At 34.7% G+C, this 25,767-nt stretch overlaps 1 protein-coding gene and 1 long non-coding RNA gene across 5 annotated transcripts in view; one reads left to right on the top strand and one right to left on the bottom strand.

Annotated features, from left to right (window-relative positions):
* The window catches only part of PRKG1 (protein kinase cGMP-dependent 1), a 1,307,463-nt gene that overhangs the window by 34,786 nt on the left and 1,246,910 nt on the right, over window positions 1-25,767 (bottom strand). For all 4 annotated transcript variants that reach the window (NM_001098512.3, XM_017016413.2, NM_006258.4 and 1 more), the window contains one exon: window positions 11,899-11,995. In NM_001098512.3, the coding sequence (NP_001091982.1) occupies window positions 11,899-11,995 (97 nt within the window). The remainder of the gene's footprint in view (window positions 1-11,898; window positions 11,996-25,767) is intronic.
* Window positions 10,048-25,767, top strand: part of LOC124902425 (uncharacterized) — a 56,483-nt gene continuing 40,763 nt past the window's right edge. Inside the window, exon 1 of the long non-coding RNA XR_007062145.1 lies at window positions 10,048-10,194. This is a non-coding gene — a long non-coding RNA (uncharacterized LOC124902425). The remainder of the gene's footprint in view (window positions 10,195-25,767) is intronic.

Below are 25,767 nucleotides of genomic sequence, written 5' to 3'. Positions count from 1 at the left end.
ATGGAGAGTATTTCTAAATGGGCACAAGGGTTCTTATTGCAGTGGTAGGAATGTTCTAAAGCTGGGTTATATGATGGTCATACAATTCTAAAAATCACTGAATTATACCCTTAAAATGGGAAAGTTTTATGGTATGTAAATTATACCTCAATGAAGTTGTTAAAGAATTTTTAAAAAGAGAGAGAACTTGTAATTCCTTGAATCTACAACTTCTAGTTCTGTATTGATTTGTCAGGTAGCTACATGTTTCATTTACATTTTAAAGAATTTAATGTCAAAAATGTATTTCTCTGTGCTTACTATCTCACTTACAATAAAAGTTCCCCAGTTAGCCACAAACTAGATTTTTAAACTCTAATTTCTGTTAAATATTGACACATTTTTAAAAAGTCATTTTTAATGACTTTACTACTTGTTTATTGAAAAACCTAAATTTAAAAGTCTTATTTTTTAAAAAATTAGGATCATGAATAAATTTAAACAAAATGTACATAATTAACACAAAGTTCTTTAAAACTTATCTTGTCAAAATAATAGGTACAGTCAGCTTTCTGCATCTGTAGGTTCTGCATCCACATTCAAACAACCAAGGATTGAAAATACTCGGAAAACAAAAATGGATGGTTGTGTTTGAGGTGAACATATATAGACATTTTTCTTGTCATTATTCCCTAAACAATACAGTATAACAGCTACTTACATAACATTTGCATTGTATTAGGTACTGTAAATAAACTAGAGATGATTTAAAATATAGGAGAGAATGTGTGTATATGCAAATACTATGCCATATTATATTAGGGACTTAAGCATCTGTAAATTTTGATATCCACAGCAGGAAGAGGTATTGGTGAGGACAGGTCCTAGAACCAATCCCCCATGGATGCTGGGGATTGGAAGGTTAAAATATTGTAATAATAAACCAACTGTGGTTGTATGCAAGTCCATATGACATCCTAAAGCCTTATTTTCCTTACTTATGAGAATAAAACCAGACCAAGTGCGGTGGCTCATGCCTGTAATCCCAGCACTTTGGGAGGCCGAGATGGGCAGATCATTTGAGGTCAGGAGTTCAAGACCAGCCTGGCCAACATGGTGAAACTTCATCTCTACCAAAAATATAAAAATTAGCCAGGCATGGCAGTGGGCACCTGTAATCCAGCTACTCAGGAGGCTGAGGCAGGAGAATTGCTTGAACTCAGGAGGCAGAGGTTGCAGTGAGCCAAGATTGTACCACTGTACTCCAGCCTGGGCAACAGAGCAAGACTCTATCTCAAAAACAAAGAACAAACAAACAAAAAAAACCAGCTTCATATTATAGAAACAGATATTGTAAGTTAAAATCAGATAGTGTATGTGAAAATTATTTATAAATTAAGAAGTGTTATATAAGAATGATCATTACTACTATGATTTCCAAGATATGATATTTTACTATTACAACTGATAATTAAATCTGTTTTTAAGTTAGTAGTCCCAATCAACTGAATGAATACAGGACTAGGACAAATCTACCTGTTTAAATTTAAGGAAGTTTTACTTTCATGGCGAAAGAAAAAGCAATTTTATTACTCCAACTCAAATAACTTTTTGGACATGGCCAACTAAAGTGCCCACTTGTTCAGGAGAAGCCAGCTTACTACATTCTTAAAAGGAAATGAAATGCTTTAAGTGAACAGAAAGCTTCTATCCTACAAATCAGTGTTGGATTCACATCAATGTTGGATTATATACATTTCTTAACAACAACAATAACAAAAAATACTAATTCTATTATTAACTTAACCAGAGATCACAATAACTTCTCTACTTCCTTCACTTTTCTCTGCACAATAACATCATATGATTTATTTTTCTCCTTGGCCAATGTCTGAAATTTAAGAATGAACCATAGCATTTGCCTTGTTTCATAGGATACACAAGAGAGAAGAATAAAAGGAACTCGTCACAGCCTGAGTGACACATGTTTGAATGAGGCACAGAGGCACAGCACTGCTGTAGTGGTGACTCAACTTCATGGTAAAGGCTTTATGCATCAAAGTTCCTATTCATAGACAGGCCCCCCCAACACCTACACACACACACACTCACACACACACAGAGTCAGGTATAACATTTTGAAAAGAAAGGAGGATAGAAAAGTAGCTTATTATATATATATGCCTTTTCATTTGAATCCATCTGCCATTTGCACAATGGAAAGATAATCAAGAGAGGGTCTCTCTTCTTCTCATCCTTGTTTTTCTTTCTTCGTTTACCTTAACCCTTCATCAAAATATCAGTAATCTTATTTGCTTTGTAACTTACCTTCAGACTTAAAATCAGTTCTACAGCTGGTGGCCAGAAATATCAGGAAATATCTATCTTATTAAGTTTAAATTTATCAAAAGACAAAGGTATTTTTGAAGAGGAGATAAGGTTTTTTTTTTCTATTTTTTAGAGACATTTAACTTTCAGTTTGGAGGAAAGTCAGAAAAAGAACCTAATACTTTCTTATTTTTAATTATACTGTGAACAAAGGGTTGGACAATTTTCTAGAAGTTACTTGCAAATCAAAGAATATTTATAATTTCTTATTTTTAATTATACTGTGAACAAAGGGTTGGACAATTTTCTAGAAGTTACTTGCAAATCAAAGAACATTTATAATTTCCCTTATTAAGGAATTAGTTTATTCATTCATTTTCATTCAAAAGGCTACCTACTTTGAGTGTCTTCTCATTCCTTAAACATAACATTTATTTCCTACTGCTTTTATGCTAAATAAACTTTACTTCATTTTGCAGTGATTATTAAAAATGGTATTTACAGAATTTTATTACCTATAATACACTTTATTTTTTTCACCAACTAATCAAATATTTTTCATCCTCTACCCAATACTTTAATTTCTATGCATAATCTCCCTTGTATAAGGAAATACTATGTGTATCAGTTTTGAAAACTTGTTTACATATTTTAAATTGAGCACATGAATAGCTCACATAGATTCAATTTATTCTAATACTTAAAGCACACATATAACCACGTAGGTGAAGTTGAATATTTATATTTCAATTCCTTTCATTTATTGACTCTGAAAATCTAAAATGAGTTGAAATGAAACAGAGGATCACATACTGTGAAATTCAACTCTCTTTCTGACATGTGGCCCAATTAACTCATGAAAGGTTTTGCATTGCAGTTATACTTTTGAAATATAGGGATGAATGACTTTATAATTTTTTAAACTGTTACATACTGGAAAACTTTAATAAAATGGCTTATAATCAGATCTTAATGTCTTATTACATGCTATCCTCAAACTTTGTCCTTCTGATGTTACAAAAAGGCTAACGATACAATTCATCCATGTAGCCGAAAACCATTTGTACCCCCTAAAGCTATTACAATTTAAAATATTTTTTAAAATACTGAAAAAGTGCTGGGAGACAGGGCTGGGGGAATGGGAATGAGGGTGGGGAGGATGGGGTTGGAAGGATGTAGAGGAGAACCTGCCAACCATTGAAAGATTCAATGCCTCTTTCAATGATAAGGCAAAATAAAGACATTTTCAGATAAAAGTAAATTAAGGAAAAAAGAAAAAGAAAAAGATAACTTCTTCCCCCATACGATTCTTGTATTTCACATTTATCTTGTGTTTCAGATTTTCACAAATATAAGAGGACATCAACTGTAGCTAAGTAAGTTCAATAAGAATTTACTGGATTTTGCCTATGCCAGTTTACTTCAGGGAAAACAGTCACATTAAAAATTTAAATTGCTTTGTTTGTGCAGATGTGGCATCCAAGGTCATAGTGATGACGAGACAGTGGCTCTCCTTTGTTTAACTTATTTATTTGAACTTCTTTTGGGTAGTGATGATCTCCCCACTCTCAGTGTGAACGTGAAAGGCAGTGGGCTGGAGCTAGAGACTAAGAACAAACTACCTGGCCCACAAAAGCTCCTGACCTCATAGCTCAATGTTCAAGCTAATATGTTGTATATGTCAATGACAATGGGGAATACTGAGGGACCAAGTACTAATTAGCAATAAATTAAATATATGCAATTGATGAGATATATTGAAACATACAGAATTACCTGTTTCATATTTTTTCCAGAAAGCAAGATAAATTATTTCATTTTATTTAAAAAGACATGACTATTTTCTACATAATTAAGACATACAAAGGGACTATTTTTCCCTCTCATGGAAGGAATCCCTCTTTGAAAGTGTTTACATGAAATTTTCAGGAATGCAGACTGCACTGTGGTACAAAATAACCTACTTTTGTCAGAAGAGAAATTATGATGTCTATTTCTGGGAGCAGCGCCACCTAAAAATAGCTTGTCTAGTCACCTTATAGTGCATTCTTTCATGTCATAGATAGAAGTTCAGAGCAGAGTCTGTGTTTATGTGCTTTCATTACTTAATGTCCAAACAACTCTTTTTTTTTTTTTGGCAAGTCTAATCTTTTTAAAGAATATAAACAATCATACTCTACTGATCAGCTATCTAATATTTCTCTCTGCTCCTCCCACAGTAATTCACTCTAGTCTGGTCACTTGCTTTGGTGTCCTGTGACAACATGTGGCCTTTTATGTTGTAACCCTTGCCTGGAATGGCCTTTTCTCAGAATGGCCTTTCCCCATCTGTTCATTTAAATCCCAACCTATTCTCCACTGCCTGGCTTCAGTTCTGTATATCTTCCCAGGCCTTCTTCTATTCCATCAATTTCAAATGACCTCTCTCCTGATGAAATACTAAGAACATTTCTGCATAATTTTTAATTTAACACAATAGCATAATATTTTGTTTGCTACTTTTCCAATATGTTAATCTTATCTTCTTTCTTAGGAGGGGGCAGAAATTCCTTGAGGGCAGGAATCATGTCAGATATTTTTATATCCCACAAATATTTTGGATGTTTTAAAACAGATGATTTTTGCCTAATATGATGTACCCATTATTAAGCTTCTAGTTAAAAAATCAGTAATTCTGGGCAATAACAACAGCTCTTTCAATGACTAAGTGGCCTTAAACCACATATATACATTATTCTTGTCTTCTTTCCTGTAAAATGTGGATCATGTCTCATGTTCTCCTCACAGAGTAGCTATAAGGGCAAAATTATACAATGAACATGAAAGTAATTTGAAGATTATAAAGTAGGGTTCAAATGAAAGGTTATTTTATTAAAGAAATAATATTTCTTGGATTAAAGAAATAATATTTATGTCATAGAAAACAAAAAAGGCAAGTATGACCTAAATGTCAACTTTTGTAAGAGCTGTTTTATCACCAATTATTTTAAGCTTTGGAAAGACATGCCCAGTGCATTCTAGATTTATAGTGATTATTCTAAAATCATATGCAGGTTTAGAGGAGAAACTATTAACATTTTATCTTGTGGTAGGATACTAACTTCAACTACTTGTAAGAAAAAATAGGCATTTCAATTGATTGCTAATATATAAAATTTCTGTAATTTCACAAGATGGGTTAGAAAGTAACATATTTGTTTTCATTCATGTAATCTAAATTTTATTATAATTATCAATGTACAAAAGAAATTTATTCTACAATAATGAGATGAAGTAATGCTTATCTTACTTTATTTGCATATACCAAAGTAGAGATAAGCTTTACTACTTGTAATTTCTGCATTGAAACTGTCATGTGGTTATTTTAGCAGTTGCAGTATATTGTTACTACACCTACTGATGCTCAATTAGTGTTTATTAGATGGGATTTTCATTAGTTCTCTGAAGAACTTATTTTCTGAGAAATGAGTGCTATTTATTAGAGTTAATAATTTTTGTCCGTTTTTATTCTTTTGAAGAATAAACATAACATGAGAATTACATATTTAATAATAAACCACAGAGTACTACTAAAGAAGAGGCTGTGTTAAAATGAAGCAAACTTTCAGTTTCAACCAGTATTGAGTCCTTACTCACTTTAGTCACAGAGGATGCAAGGCCTTAGGGCAGCAGGGTTTCCCCAGGTGTCCGATGTAGCATAAATCACCGTGGGTACACATGGCAATACTGCCCAAAGATCTCCATAGCTATTCTGTTTCATTGCTGTGCGGCTTGGCAGTAGGAAGCTCTTGAAATGTTTTCATCTTACATGGGGTTTCCCTTTGGAGTTAAGTTGCTCACCTTTCGCAATAAGACCCTGCTGACTGAGCAATGGGTTTATCACCTAACTTCTTGCTTAATCACCTCTTAGTTTCTATTTTTTTTTCAATTGGTTTACATAGCACTCCAAGCCTGCTTGCTTGTTTTTATAGTGCCAAGGCAGCTGGCAAAAATGCTGTGAGAGTGGTATGGATGTCATGAACAGACACACCCTGTGAAATACACCTCCTTGTCTTAGCATAAATTGGTTCTCGCGACTACCACATTTTCTTTTCCTGGGCAATCCAGTTATGTGGTTTAGAAACTGAACTGCAGCAGAGAAGGAATGAGAGGTAACTTTTGTATTCAACTTGCCAAGAGCCAGGTCTTTATTATGCCCAACTGAGGTGCCATGGGTTAAGAAGGCTGGAGAGGAACTAGGTATGATTCAGCAGTTTGCACTGAAAATGATTTCCCATTGAGAGGTTAAGAGGTGGGGCTTCACAATTTAGAAGTGAAATGGATGAATAAAAGCAGGCTACTTCAGGGGCACACAGGTTCAGCATAAGGGATATTGAAAATTGTTTCCCATCTCCTCTCATGACAGATCAGAAAGTTAAGAGCTTAGTGGTCTGGAGAAATTTAATAGAGGTTATCACTGAAGGTCATTTGAAGACCTCTGGCTCTTACTTATATTGGAATAATGGTTGCACTCTCAGGCCTTGGCCTAGCAATGGAAAAGAAAAGAGTAAAATACTTTCATTCCCTTCCTTTTCTATGCTTATAGCTGGAAGTGATAAATAAAAAGAACTATCATTAGCATGCTTTAATAATAATAGCAACAATAACAACATTAACACCATTTACTGACCTATGATGTGTGAGACACTATTTTGAGGGCTTTAACTCGTTTAATCTTCACAACCTTGTGAGGTACATATCCTATTATTATCATCATTTCAGAGACAAGAAAAGCAAGGCTCAGAAAGTTTTAAGTAAATGACTAAGCATACACAATGGGTAATATCTGAATCCAGAAAGCCTAATTCTAGAGCTCTAGCTTCTAGCTACCATGTTACACTGTCGGATTTTTTTTCTCTGCAGGTATTTTGCCATTAAACTAGGAGCAGAAAAGGATTTAGAGAAAGGGGAGCCTCTGAGGATATAACAAAAAGAGAGGCACACAGCAGACAATTACTACATCTATTCTAGATTTAGTTCTAATTCAGGTTCTTGAATTCCAGAAGAATTTTTTTAAAGCAAAGGTGTACATATAACAATGAAGTAACACTTGTTTGATTTGGGGGTGGTTGTTGATGGTGGTGGTAAGAATCCAAATATTTTTAAAACCCAGAATGGCAGAAAAAGCTTCTAGTTAAAAAATCAGTAATTCTGGGCAATAACAACAGCTCTTTCAATGACTAAGTGGCCTTAAACCACATAAATACATTATTCTTGTCTTCTTTCCTGTAAAATGTGGATCATGTCTCATGTTCTCCTCACAGAGTAGCTATAAGGGCAAAATTATACAATGAACATGAAAGTAATTTGAAGATTATAAAGTAGGGTTCAAATGAAAGGTTATTTTATTAAAGAAATAATATTTATTAATAAACATTTGTTTCTTCAATAGTTTCATTTTACTAAGTATGTTCCATAATGCATCAGGTTACTTATGTTGATGCCTTAACTCTCCCTCTGCCTCAGAAATGCTATCTCCTGCAAGACGTCTTGTTCCTCCACACACTGAACCCCTGCTGATCATGCTTTGCTTATGAGTTTATTAGTTTACATGATTGCCCCTCCCAGTAGACTGTGAGTCTCTAGAGCTAAGAACTATTCTATTTATTAAATTTTTTATCTTCAATCATAGAGCTCACTACATATATACATAATAACTGATGCAGAAAGAATATAATCCAAAAAGACAGAGGTTATGTTTATCTTATATTTGTTCCTGTGCTTTATCCAAGTTTGCCGCTCTGGTATAGGAGATATGTGGATTGCTAAATAAACAGATTAAATATCTAATATTTAAAGCACCGACTACATATTATTGGCATATTAAAAAATCAGTTTGTCTTTGAGTCATACAAATCTATTCTGAAAAGCAGGTGCCTTTCTCGCAGGGACAAAAGTAGAGTAAATTGGGAATATGACTATAAGGCAATGGGACTAATTTTCACTTGTAATTTGTAAAACAACCTCCTTATTTTACAGTTATACTTTGTAAATGAAGACGATTACCTAGATGACTTACAGCAGTGCTTAGAGCTTTAATTAATAAGTCATATATAAAAAGAGAGCTGAGTTCTTTTGCTGAAAGTGATACTATAAATGGAATGTGTTCTCCTGGAAGACATACTGTAAACAGACAGTAACTGAACACATTAGAAAGACCATTCTTAAAAATAAAGAACATAGGCAGAAAATATGGCACATGCCAGAAAACAGAAAGGAAAGCAGTCCAAATGACTGCCCAGAGGAAATGGTTGTGAACAGGATACTGTCTGATATTAAACAAGTGAATGTCAGTTATGCTGAGAGTATTTAGGAAGAGACTGAATAGCTTAAGACTACAATTCCTATGCCTAAAAGATCTTCACTTTAAGCTTCTGGACTCTTTACTGAACACATTTAAGTTTCTTATTATGTGGCAAAATTATGTACTCACGTCCAAAAATTGATAATAAACTATTTATAAATTCTCCTGTAGAAAAATACTTCTGCATCTACATTTATCTAAATTGACATGAATGATAAAAATTAAGAAATGCTAAAAAGTCTGTGAAGGGTGTAACTACCTTCACACACAAACACAATCTGTATGTCAAACAGTGATGAGAAAACTACATTCTTAACTTCACTCTAACAGGAAATGAAGTTCAAAAATTCAAATTTCTAAATTCTTTATACTCCACTGGAGGGTTTATAATTTTATAATCTTATTTCTGGGAAATTTTTTAAAATACTATTTTAAAATTAAAGTGTAACTTATGGTATTATCTTGAAATGTCATTTACCTGCTCAACATTACTGCTAAACTAAGACACTAAGTATTATATACTTTGTATTAACATGTTGAGCACTGTGTACATAAATATGAAATTAGCTTATATGAAGATTTATTGCTTAGATATTGCTTCAATAGCACTTTATAATATTGACAAGATTATCTTGCATGCGTCATTCTCAGAGGAGAGTAAAACTTCTGTAATCACAAAAGAACTGGTCTCTGCCTACATCTTACTCCTAACTCTGATGGTACACTGTTACCCTTATGGTGATTGATTATATTCCGTGACAATGTTATGTACAATTATGGGCAAAGTGATGAGGCCAAACTCCCAATTCCAGCATCATTGAATGTATGTAAAAGATGAACAATCACAGATAATATTTTAATACCCCAAAAGTAATATTATCAGGCAATTAGTAAGTGGCAAGAATTGGGAAAATAAGGTATTAGTGATCACTTAAGTGGCTGGTCCACATTGAATACTGAAGACAATATAGGCATTCTGATTGTCTACAGTGTGTTGTGGATGTACAAGACAACAAAAGCTGATGTGGCCGTAAAAGGTTAAGGACGTGCACTCCGTCCCGATGTAGAAGTTGTACCCAATGATCCATTTTGAATTTATCACTCAGCAGTAATATCTACAGTTTTTGCAAAGTGGGCTATAGTTCCAATCTCAATTAATTCTTAGGACTATGGTGTTCATTATATATAAACATCTGTCTAAAAGAGTAAAATATAATATCCATGAGAGGAAAATTAGGCTATCTGGTATTTCTCTGGGGATGGAGATTATATGTACATATATATGTATATATATGATATATATACTCAAACATGCACATGAATACACAGAAATGAGCATACACATGTGTGCACACACACGAGAGCACACATGCAAATTTTTGTTTTTAAACTAACTTTTATATGCCCACATTAAATTCTTCCCAATTTTGAGGCTAATCAAAATTTTGTTTGTACCTCCTCATTTGCTTTTCAGAGGATCTTCTAGAAGATTTGCACTATCAGCTTGGTATTCAGTTCTCTAGCTTGAAATGATTTCAGTGCCTGTAAGTTATTTTCAGTATTTCAAAAATCTTAAGTAAATTCCTATATTTCATGTAATATCTCACTGGTAACTTCAAAGATCACCATTTAAGTTATCAAACTTCTAAGAGTTCACAAAGTTGTAACACTGATTTTTTTTTTGTCAACAAAAATAGTAGTTTTATTGTCCTTCGTCTTTAAAAAATAATATTTAAGGACCTATAACAGTCCTACAATCACTCTCTGAGAAATTCTGTCCCTTATACTGCTTCATTTGGAGACTGTTTTAGAAATACGCAACTATATAAACACACCAGAAAATAAATCCTGTATGGCAGGGAGCTCTGTCCTCTTTCCTGCCTGTATGTCCCAACACCTCCAAATCAAAGCAGTTCATGTATAATGCTGTTAATGAATCTTTATTAGCTATACAGACAATTATGATTTGCCACAAAACCAAAGTTCTTAAAAAATAAATCCATGGCTACATTAATTGGTAGGGTTCAGAAAAGCAAGAGGTTTGTCTAGAACCTTACTTTTTTTTTTTTTTCTCCCAGAACTGAAAATACTCATATTGTCAAAGGCACACTATGGACTTTCAAGTCACAGGTGATATTACTACAGTATCTCCAACCAGTGTTAAGGGAAGCATAATACCAATTCAGTGAGGCATATGGCTCTAAAACCTTCTCATCTAATATTTAAGTAAATAACATCTTTCTACCTGTTCAAGTCAGAAATTCCAACTGCAATACAAATAGACAAATATAAAAATAGTACTGGGTCAATGTACTTTTAAGGAAGGGGATTTCTCCTGACCCCTGATGGCAACGGTAACTGTTTACTGCACTGTACACAGTCTCAGGGAGTTCCTCACATACTGTACTGGTGTCTGATATCAGGAACTCCTCTATGTTCAGCAGAGAGGTGGAAATCAATCTGCATTCTCAATTAGGGTTTATAGCCACACCGTCTTGAAATGCAGTTAGTCATAAGAGTACATTTTTTTCTAATTCTTGTGACACTATGTCAGTTTTAAAATTTATATTTCAAATAAATGCAAAGTAGAGTACGTTTTCATATTGTTTACACCACATTCATGCAATGTATTTAATGTATGAACTTGTACAAAGTGTCATCATCATCTTCATGAATATATAGATGTATGTATATGTGTATACATATGTATACAGACAGTGTGTGTGAAATAAACTATATAAAATATTCAAACTGTTAGGACTAGAAATAGGTACTTGCAACTACAGAATCACAGAATTGCTACTACAACACCATTTACTTCATATATATCTCTTCGATTTCCCTTTATATGTATTTATATTTACATTTAAATTATTGTAATTGTTGTTAGGGTGCATAATTGTTAGTAAGCACCACTCAGAACTAAGGAAATAAAGATTATAGAAAATTAGTTGGGTAAGAAGTTCTTAATGACTCTTCTTTAAGTAAATGTGTTTACCTTACACTTAATATGAAGAGGTTTTCTAAAAAGCAAGGTGTTATTTTATTTTTAGTCGTTGACTGCATAATTTAGCCCACTTTGTGTCTAATTATGACATGTCTGCCGCAAAGTATTTGGAACTGATTTAGGAATCATGGTAATTAATGATGAAAGACAAAACAAGAGAAAAGAAAGAAATCTTAATCTAGGGGAAAAAATTAAAAAGGAAGCAGAGGCGATCAAAAGCATTTAAAGAACAATCACCTACCAGTTCTACTCGTCCGAAACCTCCAACTCCAAGGGTATCAATGATGTTGAAATCAGACAGCTTCAGGTTGGCGAAGAAAGCCGCTTCAGCTTCATATCTGGATTTTTTGATGTGAAAAAATGGAAATTTCTTAGAGGTGCAAACACGAGTACCACGTACATCTGTACCAGAATGACATGACTGTGGAACAGGGTTTACCTGCTTACATTCCATCTTGCTTTTAGAGTTTGTGTTTTCTCACACTCATAATTTTTTGGTCCCAGTTGTGCAGAATAACATAAATTTGCACTTGTGTTTCAAAGTACGGTAGAAAAATGCAAAGTACCCACTGCATGCCAGTCAAGTGACTGATAAATCCAGTTATCAAATCAAAGTTACATGGTGGTCTTTTTCTACGCGTCTTCTTGTGAACACGGATTGTTTGAGTTGTTCTTTTTTGGTTTTGTTTTAGATTTTTTGGTTTTGCTTGGTTTTGTTTTTGCCGTTCAGATTTCGGATGGCAGTTTCTCATCAGTTTCCCTTATCCACAGGCTGGCAGTGCCTCCTATAAATATTTATTAAAAGCGGCAAGATCACGGAGGTCTCTGGAGCGAAATCACAGCCAGGTTTTATGAAAACAGATCCGAGAAGCTGAGAACTGATGTACAAATGTCCGAAATGGATGATTTCGGAAGCATAGTCACATTCCTAAAAAGTGTCTTCCCTTCATTTTTGTGTACCCACTGACTTGTAGCCAATACTCTCAGCTAGCAATCTCAGTGTCTTTATGTTTGCAAGTTTCTTATATGAGTGGTGTGGAGAAGCATGGACTGCTATTCCAAAAGTCTAACTATGCACACATGCAAACCTGACGCATGCAAGTGGCCAAAATAAGCTTCTCCTGATGAGACAAGTGAATATGAGCTGCTTAAAATATATCCTTGTCAAAGGCCCTGCTATTTTTAGAAAGGACAGGAAGGCATAAAGATGAAGATGATCTGCCCACTCACTAACGTCAGGTCAGGGAGTAATTCAGCTGTCTCAAAAATAAAGTATTTCAATAGCTATGCATAACCCGTGACCTTCAGCTCAGCAACACCTGATTCAGTATTACACTATAGATAGAAATGATGAATGCACTTGAGGTAATGATACTAACACAGCCTATTTATGTATACTTTTGCATAGAATCAGCCATGGGTATGTTTAACATTAAGCTGTGTAACACATTAGCTATTCCATTACCATCAAACACAAATTTAGACTCTCCACTTGGGGGATTTGTGAAACAGCTTTCTAGGTAAGCTTTCTGCATTCTTCAATTTACAATCACATTTCTAGTTTTTTAACAAGTCAATTGTTGACAGGCTTCTCAGACGGTAAAAACAACATTGTTTTCCATTATTGGCTAATTATGTGAAATCAACTCCCTCCAATAAACTTTTACAAACAAGGCTGCTAGTCCATCCTAATGGTGTTTGTAGACATCTGTCATTAACTACACACTCAAGAGATCAACATAGTGATCCGGGAGATGGTTTACTAGAATGGAACAGAAGCAGCAAATGTGCATTTCTAGCATTCCAGCTGGCTTGCTACTTTTGGAAAATTAAAACTCCATCCCATTGAAAGGGCTAGCGGCAAAGTTGACTCCAACAGGTGCTGAAAAAAGACATCTGTTGAGATCAGACCCTGTGACTGTATGTGGTCAAGCATTTCCTGGCCGCCTGGATAATTAAATCCTTAATGAGATCGTTGTTGAATAATAATCCACGTGTTTGTTGGATTTAGAAATCTCAGGTGCAAACAGGGTGAAACTTGTTTTTTTGGTTTTTTGTTTTTTGCTTTTTGTTTTTTTTAGACAGAGTCTTGCTGTGTCACCCAGGCTGAGGCTAGAGTGCAGCGGTGCAATCTTGGCTCACTGCAACCTCCACTTCCCAGGTTTCAAGCTATTCTCGTGCCTCAGCCTCCCAAGTAGCTGGGATTACACGTGTGCGTCACTACGCCCAGCTAACAAACAGGGTGAACTCTTTCAGACTATTTTGATACCATTTCATATATTCAAAGTATGGTGTTATTATTTGTAATCCTTGAAAGCACCCCCAAAATTCTCATTTTGGGGCCTTGTGAAGTTAGGCTGGAAGTACACATAGATTAGTGGAGGGATTCTAGCCTTTTGTTGCACATTACAGCTACCTGAGCATCTTTTAAAAACAATTAATTTAAGCCTTGCCACAGACCAAGTGAATGAGAAATTTCTGGAGGTGCTACCTAGACATCCCTACTTTTAAAAAGCTCCCAGGTGATTTTGATGCACAGTAAGAGTTAAAACCTATAGTTCTATATCTTCTGAAAGCCTCAGGAAGTTCCATAAGTCACACAAGATTTTTGGGGTGGATTAAAATGGCCCAGGAGATAAGTAGCTATCCAGTGAGTCTGAGGATGAGACATTTTGGCAAGAAGGTTGGGGGCTTTTTTACATTGGTCTTGGGCCCTGCTCTTCTGGTCCTAGAGCAATAGGAATAAACAATAGTTCTGAAATAGCCAACACAGCTTAGAAAAGACAGAGAAAGAGAAAGAAAGAGAGGAAGGAAGGGAAGGGAAGGAGAGGGAAGGGGAGGGAAGGGGAGGGAAGGGGAGGGAAGGGGAGGGAAGGGGAGGGAAGGGGAGGGAAGGAGGCGGGGGGAGAAGGGGGAAGCGTGGGGAAGGGGGAAGGGGGAAGGAAAGGGAGAAAAAAAGGAAAGGAAAGGAAAAGAAGGAAAAGAAAAGAAAGGAAAGAAAAGAGAAAGGAAAGGAAGGAAAAGAAGAGAAAGGCAACATTGCTAACAAAAGGCAGATACAGGGCGCAAAAGTTATAAGGCAGTTACTTTATGTTTGCATATCTACAGCAAAGACCTCTCGACTTTGTTTATAGCTATTACCTGACTAATTACTGATAGTATTTAATTAATAGGATGAGTATATTAAGTTTCATCTTAAATGGTAGAAATTTTCTCTTTAACCATCAAAATCCACTTAAATATATACTTCCCTATATACGGGAAGTACCAATTATAGTTAAAATATTTCACGTTTTGATGCAAAGATATTGGTAATGTTGTAATCACGCTTTGCTAGTCTTTGCTAATTACTTTGCTAACATTACTAGGTGAATTTTTAAAACACTACCTAGTTGTGTGATTTTATCTTATTGGTAAGATACATTTTGAAGCGGTCTTTGAATAGTCGTCCTCTTGATCCTCCATTCTGTTTGTACTTGTTTCAGGTCCTGATTTTTGGGAAAGTCAAATAATATAGAAAAGTAACCATAACTGTTTATCTTTTCCACTCAAGAAATCTTAGTTTGCTTAATATTTTATATGCATTTATTTTTCTTGTTGGATTATGTTGGGAGCAAGCCCCCCAAAATCTGGCCATAAACTGGCCCGAAGACTGGCCATAAACAAAATCTCTGCAGCACTGTAACATGTTCATAATGGCCCTAATGCCCGCACTGGAAGGTTGTGGGTTTACAGGAATGAGGGCCAGGAACACCTGGCCCGCCCAGGGCGGAAAACCACTCAAAGGCATTCTTAAGCCACAAACAATAGCATGAGCGATTTATGCCTTAAAGGCATGTTCCTGCTGCATTTAACTAGCCCAACGTATTTCTTTAATTTGGCCCATCCCTTCGTTTCCCATAAGGGATACTTTTAGTTAATTTAATATCTATATAAACAATGCTAATGACTGGTTTGCTGTTAATAAATATGTGGGTAAATCTCTGTTCGGGGCTCTCAGCTCTGAAAGCTGTGAGACCCATGATTTCCCACTTCACACCTCTATATTTCTGTGTGTGCGTCTTTAATTCCTCTAGCACCGCTGGGTTAGGGTCTCCCCGACCGAGCTGGTCTCGGCAGATTATTTTTAGAGACAAGAGTCACATTTTCACAGAGACTCTGCACACACTTTCACTTTTTGAATTAATAGTTGTTTTAACATGAAAATCACTGCATAATGAACCTATATAAAGGGGCTAAACTGTGGATGTTTTAGATTTTTCGGATATTTAACTGTTTCTTGCCATAACTGGGAGGGACATTTTCATTCTTTTTCTTTACTTGAGAATTATTTGAAGATAATTTGAATTAATTAATTATGTTCTGTTTTCTTTAGAATTGATAAAAGTTTAAGTGAGGAAGATGGCTAAATAAATGGTTAAGTAAATACCTGTTATTTTATTAAACAACCTTCTTTTGCCTGAGGAGATAAATGTGCAACCCAAGTTCCTATCTAACTTATTACTGTGGGATACTGGGTCTGAGGAATTAGGCCCAGTTTCATGCAATTTTAAAATCCATTTGTGCAACAGTGTTTAGGGGAGGACAGTTGTCAAATGCTAGCAGAAATACTTTTAGTAAGAAATGCAGTTTCTGGTATTTGGTTGCTTAAAATATAAAATAGTATATAACACATTTTCTAATCATTTTTAATTTAGTTTGAGACAATGATTTTTTAAAAAAATTATTATTGTTATTATTATTTTAGTATAGGGCAAAAGCTGTGAATTCTCTTCCCAGAAAAGTGCAAACACTGACATGCCTTCTGTGCTTATACCTATAGGGAGCTTATAAAGCCATAAAGTAGGTTAACAACACACAATACAAATATACAACAAGATAAGTATGTTGTGTGAAGAAGGCAGAAGTAATACATCATTTCTCAAATCAAATATGTCTGATTATAAGATTCATCTGGGGCTATGGTGATTAGAAACCACAGACAATAGCTAATCCTTATAGGCGACTCTTTTTTTTTTTTTTTTTTTTTTTGAGACTGTGTTTCACTCTTGTTGCCCAGGCTGGAGTGCAATGGCATGATCTCGGCTCACTGCAACCTCTGCCTCCAGGATTCAAGTGATTCTCCTGCCTCAGCCTCCTGAGTAGCTGGGATTATAGGCATGCACCACCACGCATGGCTCATTTTGTATTTTTAGTAGAGATGGGGTTTCACCATGTTGGTCAGGCTGGTCTTGAACTCCCGACCTCAGGTGATCCGCCTGCCTCGGCCTCCCAAAGTGCTGGGATTACAGGCATGAGCCACCACAACTGGCCTATAGGGGACTCTTTAAATAATGAAATATTGAACTTTTAAGAACTAAGGAGTAACAAAGTTGATTTGATTTTCACCTTTTCATTTCTGTTTATTCACCAAAGGAGGCTCTAAAAACAATAAAAATGTAAAGTTACAAGTATAAAAATGAGACCAAGATACATATGCATGGTTTAGAAACAAGAAAACAATAATAGAATAATCTCAGTCTCTTCCTCCCCTTCCCCATCTCTCTTTCTAAAATCACGTATCTGCACAGTATCATATTCACATTTCTTTGGAAAATAGATAATAGTCATTAGTTATTATATTTCCATTTCTTCCAATATTACCAGTCTCTACAAAACCAAGGAATAAGAATCAAGTGTCCCTTATTATTCACAATTGTTTTCCATTCTTGATGTAATACCCTTGAATCAATTCTGTCATTTTAAATTAACAGAGTCAGATGCTACACCTTATGACTGACCATTATTATTAAGAACTAAACATCTCTCCCTATGTATTGGAAACCAAATATAATGTTTCAACCCAGGACAAAATTTGTGAAACTCAGAATTTTACTTTCACCTTGCCATTCCAATAACAGAAGTAACTCAGCATTATTTTACAAAGCAGACAATATTATGTACCATTTAAAAGTAAAGTCCACATGCAAAAGGAACATAACTATAGTTCCAGATGGGTAATTCAGAGCCAACAGAACAAAAGGCAAATATAGCCCTATTAGTTTTAGCCCAGGTCATCCATAATCCAAATGAGCTACAGAAGTCTACTCTAAGTGCCTCCAACAAATAAATAAATAAATAAATAAATAAATAAATAAATAAATAAATAAATAAATAAAATGGTGTTAACATCTACCAATCCACATGCAAATCAGTTAGCCTGGCTTTGCCTGGACTCATCTGCTCTTCAGTATACTTTCATTTCCTCTTGAGTTTAGATCGATCAATTCTTGGGGAAAACTACGAAAATAAAATGTTTTAGTAAACACACATGAACTGTCATGTATGACTGAGTTTATTTCTTATTCCATAACTGTAGTAGGTAAGATGAGATTCAGTAAGAACATCAAGGTCTACCCTGGATTTTAAAATGCTACAAGAGAGCATCCTGGCTTATCAAAAGCTCATCACTTGTGTTCCTGGTTCTGCTAGTGACTTTGTCCTTCCAACTCTGATTTCTTCAATGTCTTAGCCTTTCTGGGAATACTGATAAATATACACTTAAGTAATAAGTATAAATTTAGTGGAAAAATCAATTCAGAATCCCAGCTTACTTAAATGTTCAGATAAATGCCCAGAAATCCTCTTTCATTTTTTATGTAACCAAAGAGCACTGCAATCTGTAAATAATTATCTACAGAAACAGTTTGAAAAAGGAGTAAGAACATTGAGAAAGTGAGCCTTAAGCCCAAAATATATAGATCTGGTCTATGATATATCCAAAATATAATGCTGGCCATGTACTGAATGAACATTTGGTACACAGGATTTTATGTGATAATTGTTCCTGATTTAATAAAGCTTAGTGTATTGACTAATCTGCAAGTCTGGAAAAGTAAATAAAAAGTATTCTTTTAAATTTTTTTATATATTTTATTTTTTTATATTTTTAATATTTTTAATATTTTTAAATATATTTTAAATATATATTTAAAGTATATTTAAATATATATATATTTTAAAAAGTTTATTAAAAAAGTATTATTTAAATATTTTATAATATTTAAATATATAAAAATATTTAAATATATATTAAAGTATATTTAAATATATTTAAATATATCTAAATATATATTTAAATATATATTAAGGTATATATTTAAATATATCTTAATATATATTTAAATATATATTAAAGTATATATTTTTAAAGTATTATTTATTAATTATTAATATATTATTTAATATATAATAATAAATATTTTATTTACTTCTGTCAGAAGAATACCTATATATAGAGAAAGTAGCATTGAAAACTGAACCAATAAAAGATATTTTCACGTTTAAAAAGGAAGATGTGATTTGGGCTTAAACTACAGGGACTGTTGCCTCATTGCAACTTTTTGTGTACGTGGAAAATGTTAGGAGATACATGTCCTTATTCCCTCGATTTTCAAATGCTTGAAATTAAATAAGCTTAGACACTAAAATAAAAATGGGTAGATTCTATAATCAAGTCATCAATCATCTCTTATTAATTTAATTGCTATACAAAGAGTCTTATTGATAACTAAGCTTTGAAGGCAGAATCTTTTGACTTCATTGGAAATCAAAAAGAACCATCTTAGCGTTTCTTTGTATGGGGAGTTATTTTCTGCTAAATCATGTTTTCAAATTAAAAAATTTTCTAAAGTACCTATTACTATAAAGTTTTAAAAAATCTCTTTAAACAAGAAGACTTCTAAAATTCTAAGCAAAAAGGGCCAATTTCTAATGTATTCTTGTTGTACAGCATCTAGGTGTAATCACCATCCTTTTAGCAGTGGAAGGAATAACTTAAAGAAATAGAAAGTGTAAAAGTAATTTAATGAATCTGAAGTATTTCATTATATCAATTTACTCTGGAAAATATAATCTCTTCTTCAGGGAATTTGAGATAACGTTAGTTTGCTCCTGCTATTTCCAAAATTGTGGTTTTCAGAAATAGACTTTTCTTTGAGCACTCTAGTCATGAAATAGTTCCACTTATTTTTCAAATACATTTTCTTGAGGAGCTATAGCCAACGGGAATATACAGGAAAATTGCATTTCGTATATCTGCTGCATAATAAGAATGATAGTAATGCAAATATTCTGTATTTAGAAAGCACCTTTCTTCTACGACTTTAAAATCTCTCTTATTTAATTTATCCTGGCTGATTCTTTGTGAAGATAAGATAACAAATACTTTTACTTCTATTTTGCACCTGGGTAAACCAGCTGCTGATAAGTGATTGGTTTCAATAATTAAACACCGGAAAAATTAGGACCTTGGGCATGTTTCACATCATAGCATATTTATGCTTATTCCACATAAATAATTTTCCTTTTAAACATGACAGCAGAGAGTCACCATTTTAAAGATGTTTTTATCTCAAAATCTTAAAATGCCAACACACTTCAAAACAGTGGACCTCATCTAGTTTAACCTCCACATTGCTTTTTTTTAAATAAAGGAACTAATCTGGAGATGTTAAATGACTTTAGCTAAGGTCATAAAGACCTAGGCATAGAAGACTGCCATTCTGACTTCTGGGCTATAATAATTTTTACTATCTGATTCTATCTGCAGTTTTTGTAATGTCCTTATATTTGAAAAACAAAGGCAAATGTAAAAGTTATAAAATATATTTGAGTAATATGTTCTTTTACTACACATTTCAGTCTAGAACAATTTTGGCCTCCCTACAGCTAAGCACTTACGTGTTCTTGCCTACAACGTGGTTCCTGCCTGTGTGTGTTCCAATAAAATTAAAGGCCAAAAATGAAAGTCCACAGGTACTCAAAAGAGATGTTTTAAAAATTCAAATATCAGAGCAGCATTTGTAAAAGATGAATGAGAATATACTACCCATTGTCAGCTTTAAATGTATTGGCAAATATTCATTTTAAATAATTAATCTTGAAATTTTTTTACAGTTTGAAATAAATTTTTCTTTTCTTTTTTCTTCTTCTTTCTTCTTCTTCTCTTTCTCCTTCTCCTTCTTTTTTTTTGAGACTGAGTCTCCGTCTGTCACTCAGGCTGGAGTGCAGTGGTGTGATCTGGACTCACTGTAACCTCTACCTCCTGGGTTCAAGTGAGTCTCCTGCCTCAGCCTCCTGAGTAGCTGGGACTACAGGCACATGCCACCATACCCAGCTAATTTTTGTGTTGTTGTAGAGACAGGGTTTCACCATGTTGGCCAGGATGGTCTCCAACTCCTGAACTCAAGTGATCCACCCACCTTGGCCTCCTAAAGTGTTGGGATTACAGGTGTGAGGCACCGTGCCTGGCCAAATTTTTCTTTTTCTAAAAAAGGTCCATGAATAAAGAACTGGCCAGAAAAGAATTCAAGGTTTTCTCCCTTTTGGTATATGTTACTTTAATGGAATCATTGGCCATAATGAAAAGTTCATTTATTAAGTTATTTAGTGATGATTCTTTTTTGCTTTACAGAATATCAATAATCTCATATATGTATTCAAACAAAAATGCATGAAGTTCTCAACTTTATTCATGCCAGAATAGATATTTCCTTTATATAAATGCACAGCCATTAGAAGCTGGGATCTGAGGAAATTCTCTCTCATCTCAGTGCAAGTTAATTTCTTCATTTTCTTCTGCGTCTCTCTGAACCTCAGTCCTGAGTTGTTTGCTTTTTATTGTAGACCAGGGTGGTCCAGAGTTGGTGACTATTATGGCATGGCTACCCAGGGCCAGAGAGGTGAGGTTTAATGAGAAAGAAGATAGATGAAAATGACTCCTCCTCCTGCTTTCACTGCTGCAGCAACTCAGGCCTGCAGGTAAACGTCCCTCATCTTCATGTTATTGCTTCACGCCACCCTGGAAAAATCATGCATTACTACAGAGCTCTCATTGCAATTTCCATGAGGACATCTTTGCCATAGCCTTCATTTCTAAAGAAGGGATAGCTAAAGACAAATCACGTTTTGCCTTCAAATTTAAAAATCCCTTTTCTACCCGAAGACTAAGAAGAGTCTTTGCTTTGTTTTGCAGGTCATTTGTTAAATGGAGGGTATTCAAAGAAAGATGGAAACATTTAATCTTAAACCTTAAAACTAGTCTTAATTATAATATTAATCAAAGGGATCAGTCGAAATATTGAACTGGGAACAGAAAGTTAAGGCAGGACTTAAACACTAGAAGTCAGCTTTTATTTCTGGCTTCCAAATTTTTGCTGTGTTCTCTCATGTTTATAAGAATCCAGGCTGCACCTTTTCTCTATGGTTACTAGCAGCGATCTTCTGAATAGGAAATCTCTGATGAATTTTGCATAACTTCATGTACAGAAGGCTTAGGGATATAGTCATGGTTGTAGTGGGTCAAACAATAAAAAGACAGTATAATGCAATGTGTGGAAAGAAGAAAATAAGATTACAAGTTACCCTCCATGGCCTCTAGGAGTATAACAAAAGAAATTATCAGGAAGCTAGCCCCAGGCCAACTTGTGCAAGATATCCCCTTTTCTGCAAAACGAAGGGTTTGCATTGGACATGTCTACGAAGCTCACTTACAGCTTGACAGTTCTATTATTCCAAGTGTCTTGAGAGATACAAACTTTGCAGAGAGTCCTGGTACCTGTAGTTTCTCTTTTTGCTACTCAATCGTCCCCTTCCCAATCCTGTCCTCCAATCCTAGGCTCCTAAAGCTCTTGCTTCGGGAAAATAATACCAGAGGTTTTCATTTCATGGAGTCCTGCTTTCAACTCCTGGTACGCAAAACAGGCAGGCAGGAGACCCTGATTTAATGCCCAAACAGTAGTTGGGGAAAATACGTCTTGGATGTTTGAAATAGAACTATAACAGACCAGAGGTTCCTTCCCTTCCCAAGATTCATATTAGAATATGGGTTGTGTGAAAAACAGACTCGATAAAACTTCGAGATTTGGGACTAGGCATCAGTATTTTAAAATGAAATTCATAAGTAAGTCTATACAGCAGTTAATTACCAATGGTAATAATCACATGTATATTTTAAAGAACCATTAGTATTTATTTGATATGTACGTGACAAGACACTTACTACTTAGTATACAAGTATCACAGGAAAATGTATCCAGGGTCCAAACAACTGTTCTCAAATGGTCTTTGAGAACACCATCCATTCTTGAAATGGAGAAAGCCCGTATATCATTCTTAGTATAGAAATTACTAAGCAGAAAAGAATAAAATGGAGCAAAATTTTTACCATGTTAAGTTGTTTGGTAATAGTGATCGGTGCGTTAATCAAATGAATTAAGTCCCAGGAAACATCTCACATTTGTTATCAAGTCACTGCCATTGGATGCAAAATTTGGCATTGTTCTATGATGCTGCCAAAAAACTGAATGGTGTATCAATAAAACTTGTTTTAAACTTGAATGATGAAGCAATCTATAGGGTTTTGTTTCCTTTTGAAACTAAACTCCATACTTTTATTCAGATTTCCTTAGCTTATACTTATGGTCCGTTTTCTGGTCCGGGATCCCATCCAGAATATCATCTTGTATTTATTTGTCTTATCTCCCTTCCTTGTTTTTGAGAAATACTTGACAAGTGTTTTGTAGAATGTCCCTCAATTTGGGATAGTCTGATGTTTTTCTCATGATTAGACTAGAATTAGGACATTCTGAGGAAGAAGAAGACTACAGAGATAAGTGCCATTTTCATCACAGCGTTTCAAGTGCCATATTATTGATACGACTGATCACTAACAATATGTGAACCTTGATCCTGCCAATGTAGTCATTCTGTAGTTTTTAATGCAGTGCATACTTACAGGAGATGACAGAAACAAAATAAGCTTAATTGAATTGTGATCTTCTTCATAACTTTTACCTTGGAAAGGTGTCCCTCTCAAAATCAGATAACTTTATAAAGGGATTACAAATTTCCACATTGCTAAGGTTTCTGCACAGTCATTCAAAAGGGTCACAGTAAAATTCATTGAGCAGGATTTGTATATTGAGATGACTATAATATTAGAAACTGGTGCCTTTCCATACATTTTCCCACAAATCACAGGAGTGAAGAGACAATGGTGAAGGGGGAACAACTCAATGTCTTGTCTTTTCTATATGTATACAAAATTATTATAATAATTGCTTCTCTGAGCATATCCATCACTCGTTACAGAAGTTTGGGAAAAAAACCACAATCAGATTTCACTTTAGCCATATGCCAGTTCAAATGAATGCTGCTGTAACACTTCAGCTGACATTCATGTCTTAAAGCTCCTCACTCTACACTTGTATATATCTAGTTGAACAGCCCTAAATAATTTTCCCCATTTTTTAATTGTTGGTAAATAATTGAGTAAAATGAAAGAAACTGGGAGGGGGCATTCAGGCCTATTATGACAATTCTTTTTTTTTTTTTTTTTTTTTTTTACACTGTAGAAATTTTTATTTTTATTTTTATTTTTTTCCTCATATATATTTTATTGGCTTTCCCTTAAACATGAAAAATTATAGCAGTTTCTCTACACATCTAATCAACTCATTTCAGTAAAAACCATAACCAATTAAAATTTATTCTCAAAAAAAGGAATCTCTTTTTTTTTTTTAATTTTATTTATTTATTTTTTTTTATTATACTTTAAGTTTTAGGGTACATGTGCACATTGTGCAGGTTAGTTACATATGTATACATGTGCCATGCCGGTGCGCTGCACCCACTAACTTGTCATCTAGCATTAGGTATATCTCCCAATGCTATCCCTCCCCCCTCCCCCCACCCCACCACAGTCCCCAGAGTGTGATATTCCCCTTCCTGTGTCCATGTGATCTCATTGTTCAATTCCCACCTATGAGTGAGAATATGCGGTGTTTGGTTTTTTGTTCTTGCGATAGTTTACTGAGAATGATGATTTCCAATTTCATCCATGTCCCTACAAAGGACATGAACTCATCATTTTTTATGGCTGCATAGTATTCCATGGTGTATATGTGCCACATTTTCTTAATCCAGTCTATCATTGTTGGACATTTGGGTTGGTTCCAAGTCTTTGCTATTGTGAATAGTGCCGCAATAAACATATGTGTGCATGTGTCTTTATAGCAGCATGATTTATAGTCATTTGGGTATATACCCAGTAATGGGATGGCTGGGTCAAATGGTATTTCTAGCTCTAGATCCCTGAGGAATCGCCACACTGACTTCCACAATGGTTGAACTAGTTTACAGTCCCACCAACAGTGTAAAAGTGTTCCTATTTCTCCACATCCTCTCCAGCACCTGTTGTTTCCTGACTTTTTAATGATTGCCATTCTAACTGGTGTGAGATGGTATTTCATAGTGGTTTTGATTTGCATTTCTCTGATGGCTAGTGATGATGAGCATTTTTTCATGTGTTTTTTGGCTGCATAAATGTCTTCTTTTGAGAAGTGTCTGTTCATGTCCTTCACCCACTTTTTGATGGGGTTGTTTGTTTCTTTCTTGTAAATTTGTTTGAGTTCACTGTAGATTCTGGATATTAGCCCTTTGTCAGATGAGTAGGTTGCGAAAATTTTCTCCCATTTTGTAGGTTGCCTGTTCACTCTGATGGTAGTTTCTTTTGCTGTGCAGAAGCTCTTTAGTTTAATTAGATCCCATTTGTCAATTTTGTCTTTTGTTGCCATTGCTTTTGGTGTTTTAGACATGAAGTCCTTGCCCATGCCTATGTCCTGAATGGTAATGCCTAGGTTTTCTTCTAGGGTTTTTATGGTTTTAGGTCTAACGTTTAAATCTTTAATCCATCTTGAATTGATTTTTGTATAAGGTGTAAGGAAGGGATCCAGTTTCAGCTTTCTACATATGGCTAGCCAGTTTTCCCAGCACCATTTATTAAATAGGGAATCCTTTCCCCATTGCTTGTTTTTCTCAGGTTTGTCAAAGATCAGATAGTTGTAGGTATGTGGCGTTATTTCTGAGGGCTCTGTTCTGTTCCATTGATCTATATCTCTGTTTTGGTACCAGTACCATGCTGTTTTGGTTACTGTAGCCTTGCAGTATAGTTTGAAGTCAGGTAGTGTGATGCCTCCAGCTTTGTTCTTTTGGCTTAGGATTGACTTGGCGATGCGGGCTCTTTTTTGGTTCCATATAAACTTTAAAGTAGTTTTTTCCAATTCTGTGA

Source organism: Homo sapiens, chromosome 10 (assembly GCF_000001405.40).
Source record: "Homo sapiens chromosome 10, GRCh38.p14 Primary Assembly".
Taxonomy (NCBI): Eukaryota; Metazoa; Chordata; class Mammalia; order Primates; family Hominidae; genus Homo; species Homo sapiens.
The sequence above is the reverse complement of the archived record's forward strand: the minus strand, read 5'-3'. Positions and strand labels throughout refer to the sequence as shown.